Consider the following 22,723-nt stretch of genomic DNA (forward strand, 5'->3'; position numbering starts at 1 on the left):
ATTTTGTTTAAAAAAAAAGGACACATTTAATTCTATGAGCCCAGACAATGGGTTTGATGGAACTTTTTCAACCACGTACTTTGGCTTGCAGCAGACACTGTCTTAAATCCAGGAAAAGGAGAACAGATTATTTGTTCATATGTTATTTTCATTTTTTGGTAATGTTTACACTTTTTACTAACCCATTTATTTCAAATGTAACAAAGTTGGCTTTCTTTACTGAGAGCTACTTGGAGTAAGCAGTGTGCCAGACAATATTCGAACAATCTTTTTGCATTAGGACATTATAAAAAAATATCTTTGCTTCTGATAGGGATACATTAACACCTTCAAAGTTAAACTTTGATCTTAAAATTTCAAGCCAAAAAGCTGAAACAGCTTTGCTAATGGTAAAAGAAAATTCACAGTACTGAAGCACCAATGCTGGCAGTGGAGGAAAACTCAGTGTGGTTTAAAACTTGCCTAAACTATTTTCAAAGCAATACAAAATATATTGTATGAGACTCATGGGACATATCAAAACAAAACCTGAAGTAGCCCAAATTCTCTTTTTTCCCTTCTTTTCTGGAGTTGAGTCAATAACTTGCTTATTCTGGATTTCTTTCAGAAGCCATTCAACAGTGGCCCGTTCCCAAAACAGTGAGGTCTGTCCGCATAATACATGTAAGTTGAGCTTAAAAGGGTACAGATGACAACTTCAGCCTTTATGTCCTGAATGTCCTATAAGTTATAGTCAAAACTTACATGGTGTTAGAATGTCAAATTCAGCTAGAAAAAAGTTAGCAATTCCATGAAGGGTTTTCTTTTACCACAGTGTTGAAAAATATATATTCTAATGCTTGTTAACTTAATATCCAATGTGGCTAACAATTCATTTTCTGTAAAATATGTAAGTGAAGTGAAACACTGGTATCCATAATCAAACCTACAGCTGGTTTGGGGTCATATTCTCAAATTAAGTAGAGAACTTTAAGTAATTTAAGAGTAGAATGGCTGTTCAAAGTCATCTGTTACATCGGACAGCAGTGAAGAACTCTCCTCTAGAAATAATAATACTAAAAAAAAAAATGATGATGATGTCCAGCATTGTTTCTAAGTACTTAACAGGTATTGTTGTATTTAATCCTCACAACTCCACCCCTAAATGAGATGGACATTTTCATTATTCTTGTTTTACAAATGTAGTAGATGAAGGCTAGAAAAACCTATTTGCTTCCCACACTCTGGAATCAAATTCCTTAGATGTATCCCCCAGTGCCGCCGAGCTACCTGAGCTTGGTCCAGTTATCCTTCTAGATTCTTTATCTGTAAAATGGGCATACTAGTATCTACTTATAACATATAAATTAATAGTTTCAGGTATAAATGTGATTGTCCCTATAAAGTCCTCAATCTAGTACCTGGTACAAAATACACAGAAAGCTGCATTTTCCTGCAGGATCCAAACACTACTTCTCATACATTAGGTGGTGGCTCCTGATCAGGCTGAAGGTGAACATCAACAACAGCAGAGACAATCTAGAAAAACTGCCAGGATGATCAGAAGGAGAGGTGGCAGGGCTTCTCAGGAGTTAAGCTTGGGAACACTGACTGCAAGCTTTTGAGGGTAGGAAATTTATGTCTCCAAACATCATGCCTGTTGATTTAATAAATGTATAGTGTATATTTTCCCTTTCTACCCCACTTTTGTTTTCTAGGAAAGCCTGGCAGTACAGAAAGGAGGATGAAAAATAGAAAAAATGGATTTGAGATGTAGCTCTACCTCTGGGGACAGATCCCACAACTCCTCACATAAAAGAGATGCCAGAAGGAGAGATCAAGGTTAAGGGTATATCACGAGAGACTCAAGACAGTCAATTTTGATACCTCTAAAAAATCTGTTTAAGTCACACAGTTAATGGCTTAAAAAATGATGGCCCCTCCCACCCACTCTAGATTTAGATGAAATTGTGGTGAAATCCTGAGCTATCTCAATGAAACATGTCTTCAAAATTTTTCTCCCACAAGAGGAAACTTAGACCAAACCTATACAAAAATATAATATGTTAGGTTGCCTGAAAGTATTTCCAGAGATTTGGAGTTGATGTGCCATGGAGGATATAAATAATATCGCATAAACCCAATCCTTCCAGAACTGTTTCAGTGCATTTCGAAAGAGTTTAATTAGAAACTGGGAGCCAAAGATGGGCCACAGTATGAGATTCTCTAGTGCTTAGCTCACATTCTAGATGTTTCCAGATTTAACAGACAGACTTTAAAAAATTAAAACAAACTAAACGATATAAAAGAGATGCAAAAGTATCACTAGGTATAAGGGTTTATCATTAATTAGAAGTCTGTGGGACATTTCCTGGGCATTGCTGTGGAGTTAGAGAAGTAAAATATTCCCCTTTCAAATCAGTATTTTGAAATTTCTGCCTTTGCAGATGCTTAAAGAAATGTCTTGGCTGGGCGCAGTGGCTCATGCCTGTAATCCCAACACTTTGGGAGGCCGAGCTGGGTGGATCAGTTGAGGTCAGGAGTTCAAGACCAGCCTGGCCAACATGGTGAAACCCCATCTCTACTAAAAATACAAAAATTAGCTGGGTGTGGTGGTGAATGCCTGTGATCCCAGCTACTCGGGAGGCTGAGTCAGGAGAATCGCTTGAACCCAGAAGGCGGAGGTTGCGGTGAGCCGAGATCGTGCCACTGCACTCCAGCCTGGGTGACACAGCGAGACTCGGTCTCAAAAACAAAACAAAACAAAACAAAACAAAACAAAACAAAACAAAACAAAAACAGAAATCTCATATTGAGAACACAATCAGAACTCCTAGTAAAGTAGTTCACAGCAGCACTATAGAAAGTTATTCAAATTTAAAAAATTATTTATCAGAAATACCTAATAGGTTTTGATCAACTTTACATGATTCTTAATTACATTTATCCATGAAATTTTTTTCTAAAAAGAAAAAAAAAATCAAGCTTTCTGCTGATCCTGGCAATTTTACAAGAGCCTGGTGGGTAACTGGGTGAGAACACCTGGCTTTGCTTTTGGACGACATTCTAGCCGGGGCTGCTGCTCTTGCTATGAAAGGAGTCAAGAATGAACCAAGGCAGAAAGACCTGTCAGGTTTCCCTATCAGGTCTGTAGAGTGAGACTTCCATTATGATTGTATTTTCAACTGTAGTTTGGTCTTATGTATTTATTTAAATGTTTTTATTAAAAATGCTGAAGAGTTATTTTTTTTAAGAAGGATACTCATATTGAAACTCAAAAAGAAAAAATTAGAAAGCCCAGTGGAATTTCTTCGGTGGTGATCTAGATTATGGAAGACAAAGATTTCTATTATCATAATCACTAGGAGAAAGGGTTTTCTATCTGAAATTTTAAGAGCTTCAAATATGATACATTATAGAAGTTCAACACAAGAAAAAGATTCAGCTTTTGGATTTTATCAGCTTTAGGAACAATATTTTAGTAGAAAATCTGAACAGAAAAATGCTCAATATGTATCACTTATGTGAAAGAGAACCTACAGTTGTAACTTGCCACCTTAGGGAAAAAAGTAAAAGATGAGGAAATAGTATTTTCTTATAACAAAAATGATCACTATGCAAAACAACTTACAAGCTACTGAAATAATATTCTCTCTACAAAATTTTATAACATCTCATTTTTTACATGTGCCATGTACTGTGCTAACTATGCTAATCCTATGCCAAAGGTTACATTCTCCTTACTTTGTAGGCAGCAGAACTGGCTCAGAGAAGCTGATTTTAATTTGCTGACGGTCCCACAGTCAGATTGGGACAGAACTGTGCTCTTCACCCTGTGCTATTTCACAGAATGATTTGAGTGCACTCATTAAAATTGTCACTTGACAAAACACACATTCACATTTCCTAAGACATTATATTCCTAAGTTCATTACTTAAATGCTAATTATTCTTTGTGCTGATAAAATAATTCTATTCACTACTGATCAGTACAATTTGAACACAGATTGGATGCGTTCCATTTCCATATCAACGAAAAAATAATGATTTACCTACAGGCACTCTAGCACATCTAATGATTTGCCTGAAATCTCAGCCATGGGTTTTATGACACAAGATCGGAAGGAGCTACGCGAAGTGATGTTTCCTTTCCTGCTGAGAAACAAATGAGTACACTGCAGCAGGTCTGACCCTAAACAGTCAGATTTGTAAAGTCACCACTTAACTCCCTGGGAGAAAAGCCTTCCCCAGACAGCAGTGTTAGAATGCCTGGCAGTCTGGAGCTGGACAAATTAGTGTTAATCCATTCAGCCACAGTGTTTGCCTGTGATCTTTAAACTGCTACTCGAACTGCTAAGGAGACTTTTAGCCACTTTACTTAAAAAATATCAGATATGATCAACAACAACCAAATTTAAAACTGATATACTTTTTTTTTTTCAAAAAAGAAGCCCTTAATTAAAAATTACTCAGTGACTCACTTCTCAAATATTTATAGTGTACTTACTATGTGCTAGGCCATTTGCAGGGCACTGAAAAAGAATGATAAACCAGAAAAGACAGACATAGTTCCTGCTTTTACTGAAATTTAGTATTCAACTTGAGACTCCTACCAATGTTTGCTCTGGTAGAAACAGGCAGTCCAAGTACCTTTGAAGTGTTTATTAATTTTGAGTTACCATCTTAGAAACCTCAAAAATGAAAATAAATGCCAGTGTCTTAACAATACACTGGTACAACACAATGAATATTTTTGATATTTCACTTCTCTTTCTTGAGATTACTATTCTCTGCTTGATACTTAAAACATTTAAAGAACATGCTTATCCAAGAACTGGAGAAAGATGATGGCAAGAATAAGACAAAAGAAGCAAGGCTACCATACGCTACGGAAGGTAAATGCCCAAAGCCAGACAGAAAGGATACCAGATCAAATGACGCGTGGCTTGCCCTGCTTTTGCTTCTGCATCACAGAGACAGCTCTGATTTCCTTCAGGTATTAAGAAAAACTGTGCACCACCTGTAACCCATGTTACTGACAAAGACATCAACACCATCCCTTCTGCAGTCATTTCTTCACCATCCCTTCCACGCATGTGGCCTCTCAGCTTCGTCAACATCCCTAATTACCAAGGTTTTCTCTGTTCTTTGCGTCATAATGACTATTTTAAGAAGTTGTATAATCACCTCTACGGCTCTGTCTTCCACCTAAAATAACAAATAGTCTCCTTTACTTTAATATTAACAGGTCACTTGACCTACATATTATTTTGCTAACTATTTTACACTGTATTCCTAACAAATCTTTCCTCATTTCCCAAATAAAACATCAAGTGATCACAGCCATGAAAAAAGACATCCTAGGGATTTACATTTCATTCCAGATGTTAGGACATTAAAGAAAGTCCGTCCTACTAGGAATGGTTGTTTTGTGTTGTTCAATAGCTTTCACATTTTTTTAGAAGAGGTAAAATATATATGAATACTGGAAGTTAAAGCAGATGTAAAATGTTTAACATACAGAATACTTGGATATGAGCAAGTTGCAGTCACTCAGCAACCTCTTGACATAATGCTTTTGTAAAACAACTTTTCTGTCTCACAATATTACGCAAATCATTTTGCAATTTCTTTTAGCTGTCACAGATGTAAAGCTTGAATCAATTTACATCAATGTGACTCAAAACAGAGTACATTATGTTAAAACAGAACAACAGTGATAAGGTACCTTGAACCACAGAAAGATAAAATATTTCCATAGCTATCTGAATATAAAATACTATAGCATGAATATATTATTAAAGGAGTTTTAAAAATACATAATTTTACTTACATCAAGAGAGCCTTCATTTATAACAATCATTCCCATGTTCTTCTTCAACAGTTTGCAGGAGTGTCCTGTATCCAAACACAGAGTATATTAAAATTAATTTCTCCAGAGAATATGTAAAGATGTTAAAACAATGATATGTACTATGAAAATATCTAAAGATGATTTTATAATGACTGAGGGCAACCAGTTGTTTTCCAGGTTTGTAGGAAGTTAAACATGAAATGCTCTTGCTTGCCATAGGAGGGATATGCAACAAGTACATCTGGCCTGTTAAGGCTACAAAGACATCTGGAAAAAGATGGTGGTAAGGATTCTCGATGTCCTGAAGCTGACAAATGGATTTGTAATACACTTCATGATAACCAACATGAAGAGCAAAAGACAGGCCAACGATTGTTTCTAGAAAATAGAATAACAGAACCCTTCTCTAGACACCTAGGGAAGGTGCAGGTGGCTGTCTCTTGGATCCGCTGATCCCATCACCATCTCCCTTCCTGGGAGAATCAGTACATCCTCTACCTTCCTACCCTCTCTTGCTTTGTTGCACTTACTGCAGGGCAAAAATCCTCCCTTTGTTCAATTCAACTTGGCCTACTCTGTACCTGTTTGCTACAGCCGACTGTGTCTAAAGAGGCAACTCTGCTGATGTCACATTTTAAAAATACCATCCTATTTAAAATAATTCCACTATGTGAGTACACTGCCTTTGTGATCTCATTCCGTCTCATGATTTCATGTATCATCTAAATGTTGACCATTTTGAAACTCCTATGTTCAACTCAGCCCTCCTTCCTGAACTCCAGACTCTCATATCCAAGTACTTACTTAACCGCAGACACTTACATAGGAAGTAGGCATTTCCATCATCTCAAAGTCAGCCTACTCAAAAACCAGGCTCCTGACCACACTCCTCCAGCCCCCATCAAGAAAACCTACTTTCCCTTCAGTTTTCATCATTTGGGTTAATGGTAATTCCATCCTTCGGATGCTAAGGCCAAAAACCTCGAAGTTACCTGATCTATTTCTTTCTCTCATACTCTACATCTATCAGTCAATCTTGTTGTCTCTACCTTTAAAACACATCAAGAACCTAACAACTTCTTACCATTAAAACACATCAAGAAGCCAACCACTTCTTACCCTTTCCCTTGTTACCACCTTGGTCCAAGTCTCCATCATATTTCCCCTGGATTAATGCAATAAGCCTATTCACTGGTCTCCCTGATTCTACACTTGCTTCCCTCTGAGTCCATTTTCAGCCTAGCAGCCAGAGTGACTGTTTTTACAGGAAAGTCAGAGCATGTCTTTCCTCTGCTGAGAACCATCAAGTGATGTCCCTGTTTACTTGCAGTAAATGCAGAGTCCTGACAGTGGCCTGGGAGGCCCCGTCCACCCTGGACACTGCTATGCTGAAGATCTCTTCTGCTACTATTCTTTCTTTTATTTTTGTGCTGTTTCTCTCTGTAACAGAAGACAGCTTTTCTCTAATCATCATGCGACAAGCTCCCTCTCCTCTTTTAGGTTGTTCCTCAGATGTCACCTTCTCAATAAGTTCTTCCTGACTGTGCTATTTAAAACTGAATCCCTCTGTGCAATGCCCTGTGTTTCCCTCCCATTTTAGTTTTCTTTATAGCAATCATTGATAGCTATTATACTATGTGCTTTTCTAATTTACTTTACTGTGCGTTTCTCTGACTAGTATCTGAGCTCCACAAGGGCAGAGATTTTGGGTTCTTTCGTTCCCTGCTCTGTTCCTTGCACTTAACCAGTACCTGGCACTGTATATACCACAATTATGCTGAATGGGTGAATCTTCCCTAAGTTTTTCTAGGAATCAATCATGGCTCAAGATTCTAAATGTTAAATGTTACCAGAAACCACTACTATACTCTTTTTTCATAGGAACATTCATAATGGTGAACATATCCTGAACTTGACATTTTCCTATTTTCCACATTTACTGCCCTTTATTGCCATATATTTTCTATTTGTAGTCTGTTTTATCATATTTGTGTTTTTAGGTCTCCCAATTTCAATATGTTCTGCATTTCACCATTATTTTCCTTCTCATATATATTCTTTCCATTTTCTCTCTAATAGCAGCGATAATTTTTACAATCAAAATTAACAACTTGTGTGGTTTGTAAAGTTCTACTAGTTTTTAAAAAATAAACTGAATTTTCTATTAATAACATCAATTTGCTATAAATTTGAAGTAGAGTTTTATATTTACAGGATATGTTAGGCTGACTGCTAATACTTCTAAAATAAATGTTAGCTAAATTTTAAAAAATACACAATATTTTAAAATGGCTTTCTAAAAAATGTGGTTTCATGCTGTGAACTCCTCTAAAATACTTCCTTCAACTTGGGTGGAGTTTTGTATGTAATATATATGATTACTATCAAGAGGATAAATCCATGTCAGGGTTTATAGTGCTCAAGCTACCTACTTTTACTAAATTTGGTGAAAAAACTTTTTTTTTCTTTTTTGGCATATTGCTGGTACTACAGGCTTCCAATGCCAAACAACTTTCCCTGTGTAAGATCTCTGTTAGGGACTCAATTGATCTCCCTACCACCACTCATCCCAATTCCTATGCTGAACTCCTAACCGCCAGTGACACTACATTTGGACATAGTCTTTAAGGAGGTAATTAGGTTTCAATGAGACCATAAGGGTGAGGCCTGCTATGGTCTGAATGTTTGTGTTCCCCCCAAATTCATATGCTGAAACCCAGTCACTAGTATGGTGACAGTAGGAGGTGGGGTCTTTGGGAGATGATTAGGTCATGAGAGCAGAGAGCTCATGAATAGGACTGGTGCCCTTATAAAAGAGGCCTCAGAGGGCTGCCTTGCCCCTTCTACCATGTGAGAACACAGTTAAGAAGGTGCTATCTATGAACCAGAAGGCCAGTGGTCATCAGACACCAAATCTGCTGGTGCCTTAACCTTGGGCTTCTCAGCCTTCAGAACGATGAGATATAAATTTGTTGTTTATAAGCCACCCAGCTCGTGGTATTTTGTTATGGTAGCCAGAACGGACTAAGACAGCACTGTAATGCAATAGGACTGATGTTTTAGGAGGAAGAGACATAAGGAGTAGTACACAGAAGAGGAGCCACGTGAGGACAGCCGATCTTGAACTTCCAGCTTCTAGAACTGTGTGAAAATAAATTTCTGTTGCCTAAGCCACCCAGTGTGTGGTACGCTCTTATGGAAGCCCGAGCTATTATAAACTCTTTCCAAAACATGGGGATTAACATAGTATGAATGCAAATTAGCAACCTTCTTCTTTCCTATTATCTTAAAATAACCTTTGGTCACATAATCAAGTATCAATACATAAATCTTCCATAAGCCCAATCTCCAGACAACTGCAGAAATGTTATCCACATGTGCCACTTATGGATGGGAGGCAGAGATGCAATGGTGAAAAAAGATTGGAATATTCCAATCTTGACATATCAAATCTTTTAGATCTTGAAATGTCTCAAATCCATCTTCTGAACTACATTAACTTATTAAAAAGCACCAACATGTAAAATGTGAACTAGGTGAATTACCGATGTTAATGGCAGTTTCTTGCTTGTCCCCTGTAAGGATCCAGATTTTGATGTCTGCTTTCATTAGCGTTTCTATGGTTTCAGGCACTTGATCTTGTAATTTATCCTCAATGGCTGTTGCTCCAAGTAGCTGAAGATTCTGAAAAAAATTAGTGGTAGAAATGTTTTAAAAATCCGTTCATATTCTTTAAAAACAAAAAATTGAAGTGTGTATATGTTTTAAAATCAGAGACTAAATGATAATTCATGGACTTTGGTGTAAATTCCAACTATCCCATTGAGTTTTCTGAAATATCCTTGACTTTCATGCAGTCTTTAGGCATTACACTGAGGCTCCCTGAAACTGTCTAACCCAACCCCTAAGGTAAGGAACAGATTCTAAAATAAATTTGCATAGAAGGGGAGTAAAATCCAAAGTCAGTTAAAAACAGCCTGGGCACGGTGGCTCACGCCTGTAATCCCAGCACTTTGGGAGGCCAAGGCTGGCGGATCACTTAAGGTCAGGAGCTCAAGACCAGCCTGGCCAATATGGTGAAACCACGTCTCCACTAAAAATACAAGAAAGCAGCTGGGCATGGTGGTGTGTGCCTGTAATTCTAGCTACTCGGGAGGCTGAGGCAGGAGAACCTCTTGAACTGGGGAGGCAGGGGTTGCAGGTGAGCTGAGATCGTGCCACTGCACTCCAGCCTGGGCAAGAGAGCGAGACTCCATCTCAAAAAAAAAAAAAAAAAAAAAAAAAAGTCAGTTAAAAAGGACAGGCATTCTAAAAAAAAAAAAAAAAAAAAAAAAAAAAACATACAAACAGCTATGGGAGACTACCATAGTGAAGATGCAATCTTGCTGACCTGTTTAAAAACAGTGAGGTTACATGTTAACACTATTAAATTGTAATTTGAAGCAGTGTCAGGAAATGTATACACAATTAGAAACCAAGAGGAAAAGAACAACAAAGTGATAGTATTAGTCTCTGCAAGGAAGAACAAGTTGAATGTTTTTCACATAGTTCCACATTTGTGTAGGGGAAGATCAGACTCAAAGATCTCTTGCTCATTAGATATTGTCTTGTACCATAAGACCAAACACAACCAATGGGCTCTGGGGAAAGCTGTTATTATTTTTATTATTTATTTATTTTGAGATGGAGTCTTGCTCTGTTGCTCAGGCTGAAGTACAGTGGTGCCATCTTGGCTCACCATAACCTCCGCCTCCCAGGTCCAAGTGATTCTCCTGCCTCAGCCTCCAGAGTAGCTTGGATTATAGGTACGTGCCACCACACTGGGCTAATTTGCGTATAAGACGGGGTTTCACCATGTTAGCCAGGCTGGTCTCGAACTGCTGGCCTCAAGTGATCTGCCCACCTTGACCTCCCAAAGTATTGTGATTAAAGGCATGAGTCACCACACCCAGCCAAAGCTGTTTTAATCTCTCATGAGAAAGAATGGTTTCTACTCTCATCTTCCTAAACGGAGATGGTAAGCGGGAGAGAACAATCTCTTGGCTGTTAGGGAAACCTGGTTTGCCAAATGGACACAGATAATGTTGTTCTTGGTCCTAAATACATAAGAATGTAGTGATGGATTAAGATATAAAATTTTATTTCCATCACATGACTAGGCACTGTTGCTAGCTGGGTACCCTTCTTAACAGTGCTCTGCAGGCCACAACCAACTGATTCTCAGTCTTGCCCTGTTTCAACCTCCAGCATGATCCTCGTCAGCATTTATCTTTCTTCTCAATCATTTTCTCCTCTCTTGCCTTCATTTTTTTTCCATTTAAAATATAGGTGAGGGCAGAATGGATGCAAGGGAATGAATGCAAGGGAAAGTAAGCCAGAATTGGTGATAACAAAGAAAGCCATTTTCTACTTTTCCTTATTGTTCACCAAAATTGAAGTCTAAAATTAGTCTCAAGCTTTGCTTAGGCATGAACAATAAAGTTAACTATATATACAAACATGCAAGTGAGAGAGAAAGTGTGTGTATATGCATGCATGTAATTTATACCTGCATTAGTTTGGAATGCTTTTTGGCTGCAAGTAATAGAAAAATCTAACAATGGCTTAAATAAATTAATTTTCCTCACTTACGTAGTACTGAACTGGGCAGTTGTGGACATTAAATTTGTAGCTCGACCATACCTCAACTCATTCTCCTGACCTCTCCCAATGTCCCAAGGTATAATTATAAAGGCCATATAGAAGACAAAAATACCAACTGTATCTATCTCTTACATGAAAAGCAAAGTGTTTTGAAAAGCCCTCAGCATATTTCCAAATACTCGGCCAGATAGTTTTACATGGCTAACCCCAACTATTTGTATTTAGCTTTTCCAGGCTCCATAGTAGAGCTGTTGAGGAAGAAGGGGGATGGGAATGAGTGCTAAATTGGCCAGGCAACAGTCCCCGCTATAGCGGCCATACAGGATGGGCACGCACATGCATAGTATTTGTCTTTGTATACATGAGTATGTATGTCTAAGTAGATACACACACATGTCCCCCACTGCCTTGCCTGGTGAAACTTGGTTCATCCTCTAAAACCAAACTCAAAAGTTATTGTTTCTTGGCCAGGCGCGGTGGCTCATGCCTGTAATCCCAACACTTTGGGAGGCCTAGGCGGGTGGATCACGAGATCGAGACCATCCTGGCTAACACGGTGAAACCTCGTCTCTACTAAAAATACAAAAAATTAGCCGGGCATGGTGGCAGGCACCTGTAGTCCCAGCTACTCGGGAGGCTGAGGCAGGAGAATGGCATGAACCCAGGAAGCGGAGCTTGCGGTAAGCCGAGATCAAGCCACTGCACTCCAGCCTGGGCAACAGAGCGAGACAGTCTCAAAAAAAAAAAAAAAAAAAAAAAAGTTATTGTTTCTTTTAAGCTTTCCTTTATTTCTTAAAATAAAATTTCCCCTCTGCTGTTCTCCTACAGAATTTTGCTCATCTTCATGTACATTAAGAGAAGTGTAAATGCATGAGTATGGTAGGTTTGCTCAAAATTAGGGACCACGTCTTGCTCATCTTAATGACTCCACAGCATTGAATGTCAGCATTTAGTATGTTTGCTAAGTGAGCTAATGACAAGACCAAAATCCAGAAATTACAAAAATACTGCTGCAATCTAGACCATTTTCTTTTCAATATATTCCAAATAATATGGATGGTTATTAGACACACTTGATGCATGACTTCTTAGTGTATAATATATAATACAGGAAGGTAAATTTCTTTCAAGAAGATAGCATTATTTTATTTCCTTTAATGGGAAGCAGATTTGAAATCTACCATAACCTGATGAACAATTATCATCAAGAAGTTCAAGCAAGGAAAGGAAGAACAATTCAGCATCAGTGATGCCAGCACCACAACTGTTGAATTTAAATGTTTACACAATGATTCTTCCAAATCTTCAGCTACTTTTAGGGCATTTGCAGTTAAATCATTCTGGCTCACATCCCAGTGAAGATCAGGATATAGCTGTGTTCAAATTTTAAGCATTTTACCCAAGGCATAAGGTTTTTTTTTTTAGTGATCATGGGGACAGCTTATTAATACAAGCCCTCAAAATTTCCTGCAAAAATATTTTTTTGCAATATGTTTCCCAAAACACTGGGGTAACTAGATAATGTGGGAGCCAAGATACGAACACATTCATTAGAAACATATAAACAAATATTTTGTATATTTTCTGTCTCTACTCTAAGGGGAAAAATGAGCTCAGAAAGTCCACCAATATAAAATACATTACCACTCACATACCTATAAAAATAAAATGACTTCACTGGAGAGATCACATTGAAATCATATTTGAAAGAAGGAAAGCATCTAGTTTTGCACAGGTAAAAGAGAAACATTTTCAAAGCAGGCACAAATAACATAAAGGATCAAAGATGTAGGGCCAGCAAGGTATGCTGAGAAAAGTCACACAAGTAGGTTAACATGGAGTGTTGTGGTGGCTTTAACACAAATCCTTAAGAAGAATAATAAAACATTTCGGAATATTCAGCAAAATTGTAATGGGTCTACTTTGATGCCTATGAAGGAAACACTGTACTCCATAAGCGTGTTAATTTTCCCTTTATCCCAGGAGCTCCTTGAGAACAGCACTGGTTAATTTTAGCAGAAGGTTCTGCAGACTCCTTTCCTTTTGCCCTGGTATCATTTATGGTGAGATCAGAATCTTGAGTGATGGGCTGTTCTGCTTTTGGAAATTAATATTGTTAGCTATATAATGATCACTAGAAAAAAAGATTTGAACTTTGCGTGCTTTTCCTGATCATAACACAAGAGTGTTTAGGCTATAATCAATTTCATCCCAAATATGTATTACCTTACACAGATGGCCACTAATGGGCACTAGGGGAATTACATATTCAGCAAGTGTTGAAATGCGATAAAATTCCCATGGCATTTATGGAATTCAAAAAAAAACTCCAAACACTAATTTTACTTTCTAAATGTCACCAAGCTAAATGTTATAAAGGCTTGAGGTTGATGACTCTTTGACATAATATAGATTTAGTTATCACTGAAAAAATCATAAAATAATGTTTATTCACCTAGTAAAGCCTCCAGTAATGTTTTCTCTTTCAGATGTTCCTAATGTATGCAGAATTTTTAAAAAGGCACATAAATGTAACATTTCTACTGTAAGTGAGGACAGAAAGCTTCATGTAGTTTGGTAAAATGTATTATGATAGCTTTAGAAATTATGATTTTTCCCCAATACATGTATATTTTGCTAAATAATGGAACCTCAAAGTGACCTATTTCCATATTAGCAAACATTATGTCAGTGCTTAGATGATGTCATTTTTTTTTAAAGTTTGTGATATGCTTCTAAATGAGAAAGATATAATAATCAAACTCGTATCAACCTAGGCTTCAGATTACAACATGGGCTATTTGGCAGAAATTTCCTTAAAGACAAAGTAATATTATTAAACCAAATTGTACCACTGGAGTAAATGTGGATAAATACTAGTAGGATTTATTTCCATATGAAATAAGATTATGACTAGGAAGATGTTGAAGAGGAAACCAGCATTTCACGGATAGAAAAATTGTACCAGGCACTGCTAAGTGCTTTACATTTAGTAATTCAGTTAATAGCTTTGGGGAGGTTGAGTAAATTGTCTAAGGTCAACTAGAGGTGCAGCTAAGCTATGACCGTAAGGACAAAACACCAAGAACTAATACATACCCAAGGAAGCAAATGGGATGTAAAACTGAGATTAGATGAAAATTAGAATTTTGTTCAAATCATCAGGTTTTTAAACTTTTGTGTCTGTTCTTGGTCTTCAATAATACTTCATTTCTATGAGAGGGTTTCAGCCTCAGGCCTGAGTCACCCGTCAGGTGTACCTATTTCCCTATTCCTACCTGCAGGCCTCAGGGTCACATTTCAGGATTAGCTCCTTTACAAGCACACATGCATGCCTGCATTCATTCACAAATATACTCCAAGCAGGTGCTTCTGGGCAGGTACTTGTGCCGGGGATACAATAGTGAGTTCCTTCCTGCATGAAATTTATATTTCAGAAAGCTTCATTAGAAACTCTCCTTGGATTCCTGGCTGCCTCGTTTTCTAACTGTACCTCCTTGCCTTACTGGTGTTTCTCCTAAACCCTGACTGCCTGGTTGTCATCAAGTCCCAAGTAATTAATTAGCCACCAGGCCAGAAATCTAGATGGTGCTTTTCAAACTTTAATTTTCAGAATCACCCGAGGAGCTTATTAACACAGAATGCTGGGCCCTACACCCAGAATTCCTCATTGAATAGGTCTACGGTGAAGCCTGGAAATGTGCAGTGGTTGCAAAGCTGCTGGTCTGAGAACGTAACTATGAGAACTGCTGATCTAGAGCAGGGCTGACTAGCTTTCTCTGTAAAAGGACAGATGGTGAATACTGTAAAGTTTGAGGGCCATATATTCTCTGTTGCAACAACTTAATTATGCTGTGGTAGCATGAAAACAGTTACAGACAACATGTAAACAAATGGATGTAGCTGTGTTCCAGTAAAGCTTTATTTACAAATAGGCAGTGGGTGGATTTAGCCCTTGAACTGGAGTTTGCAACTCCTGATGTAGAATGCTTGTGAGCATCCCATCTTTGCACCTGGCTCCATCTTGTCTGATCACCGTAGACATCCCCATGTCCAACTCCTACCATTCTCCCTTAGCCTGGCCTTAGACCCTCAGGTACCAATTCTCTTTCTTTTCCTTGCAGTTTCAAACTACAAAGCCTTTAAACTGTAATACAGGATTATCATTATTAGAGAAACAGTGCTCCCCTGGAAGAATCACGTTATATGTTATACCCTATCTTAAAAAATGTTATACACATTGTATGTTACATGCTATACATGTACTCTTATGTGAGTACAAAGGATAAACACAGGAATGAGGTATCATCTTAGTCTCGATGGCTCAAAGAAAATCTATCCAACATGAGCTGACACTTGACTTTAAATACTAAACAATGAATTAAGGTTTAGCCAAGAAATGGGGAGAGGTGGGGAAGGATAAGGGAGGTGATTCCAAATGAGAAGAAATTACATGTACAAAGACAGATGTGTGAAAAGACACATAATGTTTGAGAAGCTGCCATTCAGTCAGTATGGAAATGATAGATGAAGTGACGTGTGGCAGTGAGGAAGATGAGGCTGGAAAAGCCAGCAGGGAATGGAAATGGAAAGGTCTGTGTGTTATGCTGACAATCCCAAAGGCAAGGGACACCTGGCGAATTTTAGAAGAGGAGAGACAGGATCAGATTTACATTTCAGAAAGGTCACTAGTAGCTGTATGGGGCTGGATTAGGACAAAAGAAGCCTGCATGACAAATTAAGAGGCTACTGCAGTCACCATTCTCTTGAGGTTTAAAATACGTTAACTCTGGAATTGGGATGTGCTGTGGGATTCTCAGAGGCATTCTACAACACTGGTTCTCAGAGGTTGCTGGGCTCCTCTGTGTTCTGCATTCCACTGGGTATCATCCTTGTTTTAAAGAGACCTAACACCTTCTTTCCTTTCCCTTTATTCTGGCCTACAGTACTAAGACTAAGAGCATTAAGTCCTTAAACCATTGGAATGGCTCATTTGCCTACTTCTGGAGAAATCATTCAACTGGTTAATTTTTCTAAGGCCAAGAAATAGATTTTAACTTGGTGCTTTTCAAACCATAGAAATCACATTTGAACTCACAAAGCCAAGGGCTTAGTTATAAGGCCAGAATTCACACACCCAGCTGAAAGGAATCAGGATGTGAGAGGTGATTGGGTGTAGCTTGCAAAAACAACGCATCCATCTTATCTGAGTGAGAAGACAGCAATACCCAGGGTGGAAAATCTACCACGAAGCATTCATAAGAAGGAACCTATCCTACCAGAAAGGAGGAGCATGTGATTAGAGATCTAAGGAAATCTTAAGTACTTTAAATAAGAAGATTCTAACGGCCAGTTGAGGGAAAATCATGAAAAACATATTTCCATCTTGTTTTCAAGGAAAATGGAATACAGTACATAGAGTACATAGAGGCTGCCTCACTAAGTAGCTGAGTCTCAAACAGGCTGATGAGCCCCACTTCTCACCCTGAGTGATCTAGTGATTATGCAACTGCACAATTGATTTCATTTTATTTTTCAAGTCTCCAATATTTTATACACATTCTTGCTTTCTTCAAAAGCAAGTTGGCAACGTAACTTACAGATTATTAGCATGGGATCTGGAATTAAGACAGAACAGGGATTTGCATCCCTGCTCTGCCAACCACTGGATATGGGTCCCTGAGCAAGTAACTTAACTTACCTAAGAATCAACTTTCACAACAGCAAGATAAACCTAATAACGTAGATTTAATAAGGATGTTCTGCAGATGAAATTACACCAGTTATCTCACAAACATTTTTGAGTATACTAGGAAAAAATGTTGAATACGTACTTATGACACAGTTATATTTTTGTAAAACATTGTTAAAATTAATAAATTATTCACATTATAAAATGCAAAAACTAAAAAAGATGAAATAAAACAAATAGAAGTTCTAATATTTTCTTGCTTACCCCAATGGATCACGTTGTGTCTCACTTTAGAGGCCCTCCAACTAAATAATCAGGGTAAAGAGTGAAAATTGCGGAGCTTAGTAAATGCTCAGAAAGTGGCAGGTCTAATTAAATGAGCTAACTATAAATGTTCTTAAGCAAATAGAACAGGAAACTACTGGAATTTTAAACCACGAAATCACCCATACATCATGTAAATTTTCATTTCATTTTTAGCACAAATGAAAGTGATATGTGCAGCTACTAAGAATAGATGTGGTAGTTTTATCTGAAGAAGCATTCCATTCTAATACAGAAGTTACTGTGAACTTGGCAGTCATGAATGCTCAAGAAAAGTCCTGTTTTCCATTAAGTTTTATATTTCTCTAGGAATCCTCTAAACCATTTGTTGCCATATGTTGCAAAGGGCACTAAATTGTTGTTTAGTCACACTGAGTGTAATGGTTGATCTATATTACGCCACATCAAGGGACTCTTTAACCATCCCCCAAATGTCAACCACGTTTTGGGGAGGGGTAAAGGAAATAATGTAAAAAAGGATCACTACCTCACTGTCCTATCTTAGTGCCTTATCTCAGTGCCCAGGGCACTAAAGCCTCTCTGGAATGACATTGTTTTAGTTTACAAGTTCACTACCTATCTCCCACCACTGAAACAAAAGGCAGAAATTCTTCTATCCTCTCCCTGCTGAGCCCTAGAGCCTAGAACAGAACCTGCCACGCAGCGGTGCTCAGATATTTGTTGCTGAATCTTTCCAACCCATGATTTTCTCACATTTATATATCAAGTAACTTTGAAGACAGGTTTTATAAATGAACGAATCTAAACTTCTAAAGAATGCCTTCTGTAAAATTATTGGCTTCTTTTCTAACATACCCCTAAATTAATCCTTAGTGATAGCACATTTGATACCAGTGCCTTCAATGCATGGAAAGCATGAACTAGATTTGTTAATAGGGGGCAGGCTTTCATTAAGCAAGTACTTATTAAGCTCCAACTTCTGAATTAATTATTTAAATGAATAATTCATTTATTCATCAAATATTTATTGAGTGGTTAACATAGGCTAGTCAGTCAAGCGCTGGAGACACAGTGATAAATATGATAAACACAGTCCCTGCTTTCGTGAAACTTCAATCTAGTGGATGACATACATCAATCACAAACTACAAAATGCACATAAAACACAACATTGCTATCTGATCAAAAAAGGCTTGACAGCAGAGTTACAGTGTTCTGAGTTTACTCTTAAGCTCAGAAATGATCCTCTAACCCATAACCTATTTTAGAAAAACTTGAACAGATAAAAGCATTGGATAAGTTTCCATTAAAAAAAAAAGTTTCCCAATCCACGCATCATAATAAGAGAAAAATAAAAATCTTATCACCAGGGAAATACTGCTTTAATCAGTGATGAATCTAGGCAGGTATTATAGCTTACGCTGTTTTCTGTAATTCTCAAGATAAATGATTTACTTTCAGAAACACAGAAATTATTAGTAGGTAATCTATGCAGTACTAAAGACATAATTGTATTTTTCTATTGAAGCAAATAAATATTAAACATTTTCAAAAAATTATGTATTCCACGAAGGCACGCCTTCATATTTCAAACAATGGTTTAATTATAAAATAAGGAAGAAAGACCAGAGACTTCTATACTATTAATTTTCAAAGGAATCTAGTAGCATAGTATGAATATGAGACAAAACATAATTTATGTGTCTTAGAAATAAGTTAGAATAAAAGTAAACAAATTTTAACAAAGAATAGAAGCTCAGACCAAAAAGAAGTGATATCACCCTGGCTCCTGATATATTAAAGTGACAGATCAAAGGTGAGAAATTTCAGAGAAACCCCTGCCAATGAAACAAGGAACTTCATAATTATTCTGTTATTTACAATTCTTCTTGAGGAAATACAAAATTTTAATTTAAAAACCTGATTTAGGCCAGGCACGGTGGCTCAGGCCTGTAATCCCAGCACTTTGGGAGGCCAAGGGGGGGTGGATCACGAGGTCAGGAGATCGAGACCATCCTGGCCAACATGGTGAAACCCCGTCTCTACTAAAAATACAAAAATTTGGCTGGGTGTGGTGGCGGGCGCCTGTAGTCCCAGCTATTCAGGAGGCTGAGGGAGGAGAATCGCTTGAACCCAGGAGGCGGAGGTTGCACTGAGCCGACACTGCACTTTAGCCTGGCAACAGAGTGAGACTCCGTCTCAAAAAAAAAAAAAAAAAACAAATTCTGATTTAAAAAATATAGGCTGACACTATAAGTGGTTTCCCAATCTAAAATTATGAGTCCTAATATGTTGACTACCTTTCAAAAGAACGAGGGTGAGATAAAACAGGTCAAGTTTGTTGTCTAAAGAATGAGACCACTGTAAATTCTCTCAAGTGGTGACAAAAAGAGACTAAGAGGTGTTACTGTCCACAATGCCCAATGTGAACCTGCAATTCTTCGCAAAGTGAGTCAAGACAACTGAAATATCCCATATGATAATCCCATCTGCATTCTAACCATGTGAGCTTTCTTATTCCTGAACAAGTTAGGCCTTCCTACTAATCAATGTCACCTCTTGATTTATTTAGTAACAGCAAAAGAAAAAATAAACAAAATAGATGTGTCGGCAACTGATTCGTGAAACAACTCTCAGTGTTAAAATTTTTAGAAATGTCCTGAAAAGCTTACCATATGAATGCAAGTATTGGAGCTCAAACAGTACAGTTTTGGAACAGAGCTGATAATTATATTTTATAGATAGATTTAAAAGTCCTAAATCCTCTCATCTCGAGATGACTGTCAATAGGGATAACAATAGCCGGTGGGCTTTTTCACTTTCCATATCCTCCTTCCCATAGTGTTCCCCAAGAGTGAAGGCAGCACATTCTAGTGCTCAGTGTGCTGGGTAGTAACATACCTGAGTAACTAAGCATCACAACCAAAGGATAAATGCCTTGTTGTATATTTTTGGTCTATTTGGATATTTTTTTCAGCTTATGCTAGGAGTTACACTACCCAAAGGAATAAGGATTCAACTTAGTTTTAAAAACTGAATTACCAGTTTGAACAAACATTGGAGGAACAAGAGGCAGAGAGCAGCATTTAAAAGTATAACCTTAATCCTATTATAACATTTCCTCTTATTTTGTACTAAATTATTATTTTAGGAAAAACTTTACAAATCTTTTACATTTTGAATGTTGTGAATATAATACTACCATTAATGTGGCAATGACATATCAATTCAAATATGTTCAGAAACATCTTGCATACGGGCACAATGATGTACTGATCTTTTGAGGAATTTGTTTTCTAAAAGTCCACATACAAATGTAATACATGGTTTTCAAACTGTGCTTAGTGGATCCTCAGAGTCACAACAAGCCCTGCCTGGAGCACCCACGAGGGCAAGGTGGAGGCTGAGGGGAAAGCCAGTTTGGATCTCCTCTCTACTCTTACTCCAGCCAAAGCAGTCCTGCTTTCGTCAATTATATATATTATGATTCAGGCAATGTTTGCTTGGAAAATTCTGTTCTTAAAAAATAAAAGATGTGAAAACGACCCTCACAGTTTAAAGATTCACTGTCTGACATGCTAAGTCCAATAATGACATGCTAAGTCCAATATTATGGTCTACGTAAAAATAGATTCCAATCACATAAAAAATAGATTGCATAAACAGCATGTCTCAGTTAAAGCAGGTAAGGAAGAAGACAATGGATGAACCCTAGGACTGTATTTGCTCAATTTAAAGCCAGGGTAACATTCTGGAAGAATCTGTGGTCTGACACGCTGAAACTTGCCTCACTAGAGTGGTTTTAATGGCAGTAAATCACAACTTCTGAACCCTAATCCCAGCTGATTTTAACAAAGAATAGAATCTGAGATCAAGAAAGAAGTGATATAACCCTGGCTCTCTATATTAAAAATCCTACAGTCCTCCTATGATCACAGTTAATGGAAACACTTCAGAAAAACAGCTTGGTCACAAAGATCCCTGTGTTATTTATATATTTATTTATTTTTACCTTGAGACAGGGTCTCACTCTGTCACCCAGGCTGGAGTGCAGTGGTACTTTCACAGCTCACAGCAGCCTCAGTCTCCTGGGCTCAGGCAATTCTCCCTGCCTTAGGCCTCCTGAGTAGCTGGGACCACAGGTGCATGCTACCACATCCAGCTAATTTTTAAAAATTATTTACAGAGATGGAGTCTCCCCCTATGTTCCCCCAGGCTGGTCTCAAACTCCTGGGCTCAATGATCCTCCCACCTTGGTCTCCCAAAATACTGGGATTACAGGTGTGAGCCATCACATCTGTTCTATTTTGTCTATTCTTTTTCCCTACAATGATGTCTGCTCTCCTCCAACTGGTAAAATAATCCTTGGAGGCCCATTTCAAAAATTACCACCTCTCCAAAAGCTTCCTTCAGGTCAAATTTGTGGGCCACCTTTTTGGGTTCCTTAAGATTTCTTCATTTAGGGAATTTGCTCAGACCGTGGTACCCAGAGGGCCACAGTCTCATTTGCTTGTGCATGAGCATGTAAACATGAACTGCTTGATGAAAGTTATTTAAATAGATCACCAAATGAAGCTCCAGTTTCAGGAGTAGAGATGGACACAGAATCAGTCTTCATTTGGAGCAGGCTGGCTGAGTAAATGACCCAATCTCTTAATCTTTCCGGATCTTAGATTTTCAACAACAGAGAGCATGGCTTACTATGAAGTGAAGACAAATTAGTTATAAATTCCCGTTTTCATTTATTTTAGGTAAAAAACAGTCATAAGGGAGGTTTCTGTCATCTGTAAACTATATGTAGTTTACATGGATGCATATAGACACATATATAGATGCATGTGTATATGTGTATACACACACTCTCCCCACTTTTAATGGAGTGCCTCAGTCAACTTAAATTTTAATGTAGCTCATGATCGCCATCTGCTGGGAAAACGTTGAACATCTAGTTCAGTTAAAAGCTGGAGGTTGCAAGGCTTTTAATCAGTTATTAAAAGAACAAGAAACAAAACTGTTAAACCTAGAAAATCTAATCTATAAAAAACTCTAGGGCATCCAGAGAGTAAGGATATTAGGTACATTAAACATTCTACTCTAGAACTGAAGTTGTACTTCAAGTGGAAACAATTTAATATGTTTAGAATCCATTTTCAAATAGATTTTTTTATTCTGACATTACATATTAATTCTGTCTCATGAGGATTATAAGGCAAGGCAAGGCTGCCTTATATTCAGAGACAGGAAAAACATCATTTCCAAACTGGATTTTT

General features: G+C 37.7%; 1 protein-coding gene and 1 long non-coding RNA gene across 13 annotated transcripts in view, besides 1 other annotated feature; one reads left to right on the plus strand and one right to left on the minus strand.

Annotated features, from left to right (window-relative positions):
• The window catches only part of ATP8A1 (ATPase phospholipid transporting 8A1), a 248,733-nt gene that overhangs the window by 89,265 nt on the left and 136,745 nt on the right, over positions 1-22,723 (minus strand). For 6 of the 12 annotated variants that reach the window (XM_047449508.1, XM_011513616.3, NM_001400025.1 and 3 more), the window contains 3 exons: positions 9,379-9,517; positions 5,813-5,877; positions 5,167-5,187 (listed from right to left, as the gene is read on the minus strand). In XM_047449508.1, the coding sequence (XP_047305464.1) occupies positions 5,167-5,187; positions 5,813-5,877; positions 9,379-9,517 (225 nt within the window). The remainder of the gene's footprint in view (positions 1-5,166; positions 5,188-5,812; positions 5,878-9,378; positions 9,518-22,723) is intronic. The other 6 variants (NM_001400027.1, NM_001400026.1, NM_006095.2 and 3 more) reach the window with 1 other exon arrangement.
• On the plus strand, positions 607-1,779 carry LOC124900698 (uncharacterized). The gene is made up of 3 exons (XR_007058107.1): positions 607-663; positions 1,467-1,606; positions 1,698-1,779. It is a non-coding gene; the product is annotated as an uncharacterized LOC124900698 (long non-coding RNA).
• Positions 4,065-4,565: an enhancer, noted in NCBI's record as "OCT4-NANOG-H3K27ac-H3K4me1 hESC enhancer chr4:42503719-42504219 (GRCh37/hg19 assembly coordinates)". NCBI's record gives its function as "activates a minimal SCP1, AML or CMV promoter by ChIP-STARR-seq in primed H9 embryonic stem cells {active_cell/tissue: H9 hESC(primed)}" and the evidence as "EXISTENCE:reporter gene assay evidence [ECO:0000049][PMID:30033119]".

The sequence above is a fragment of the Homo sapiens genome, chromosome 4, assembly GCF_000001405.40.
Source record: "Homo sapiens chromosome 4, GRCh38.p14 Primary Assembly".
Lineage (NCBI taxonomy): Eukaryota > Metazoa > Chordata > Mammalia > Primates > Hominidae > Homo > Homo sapiens.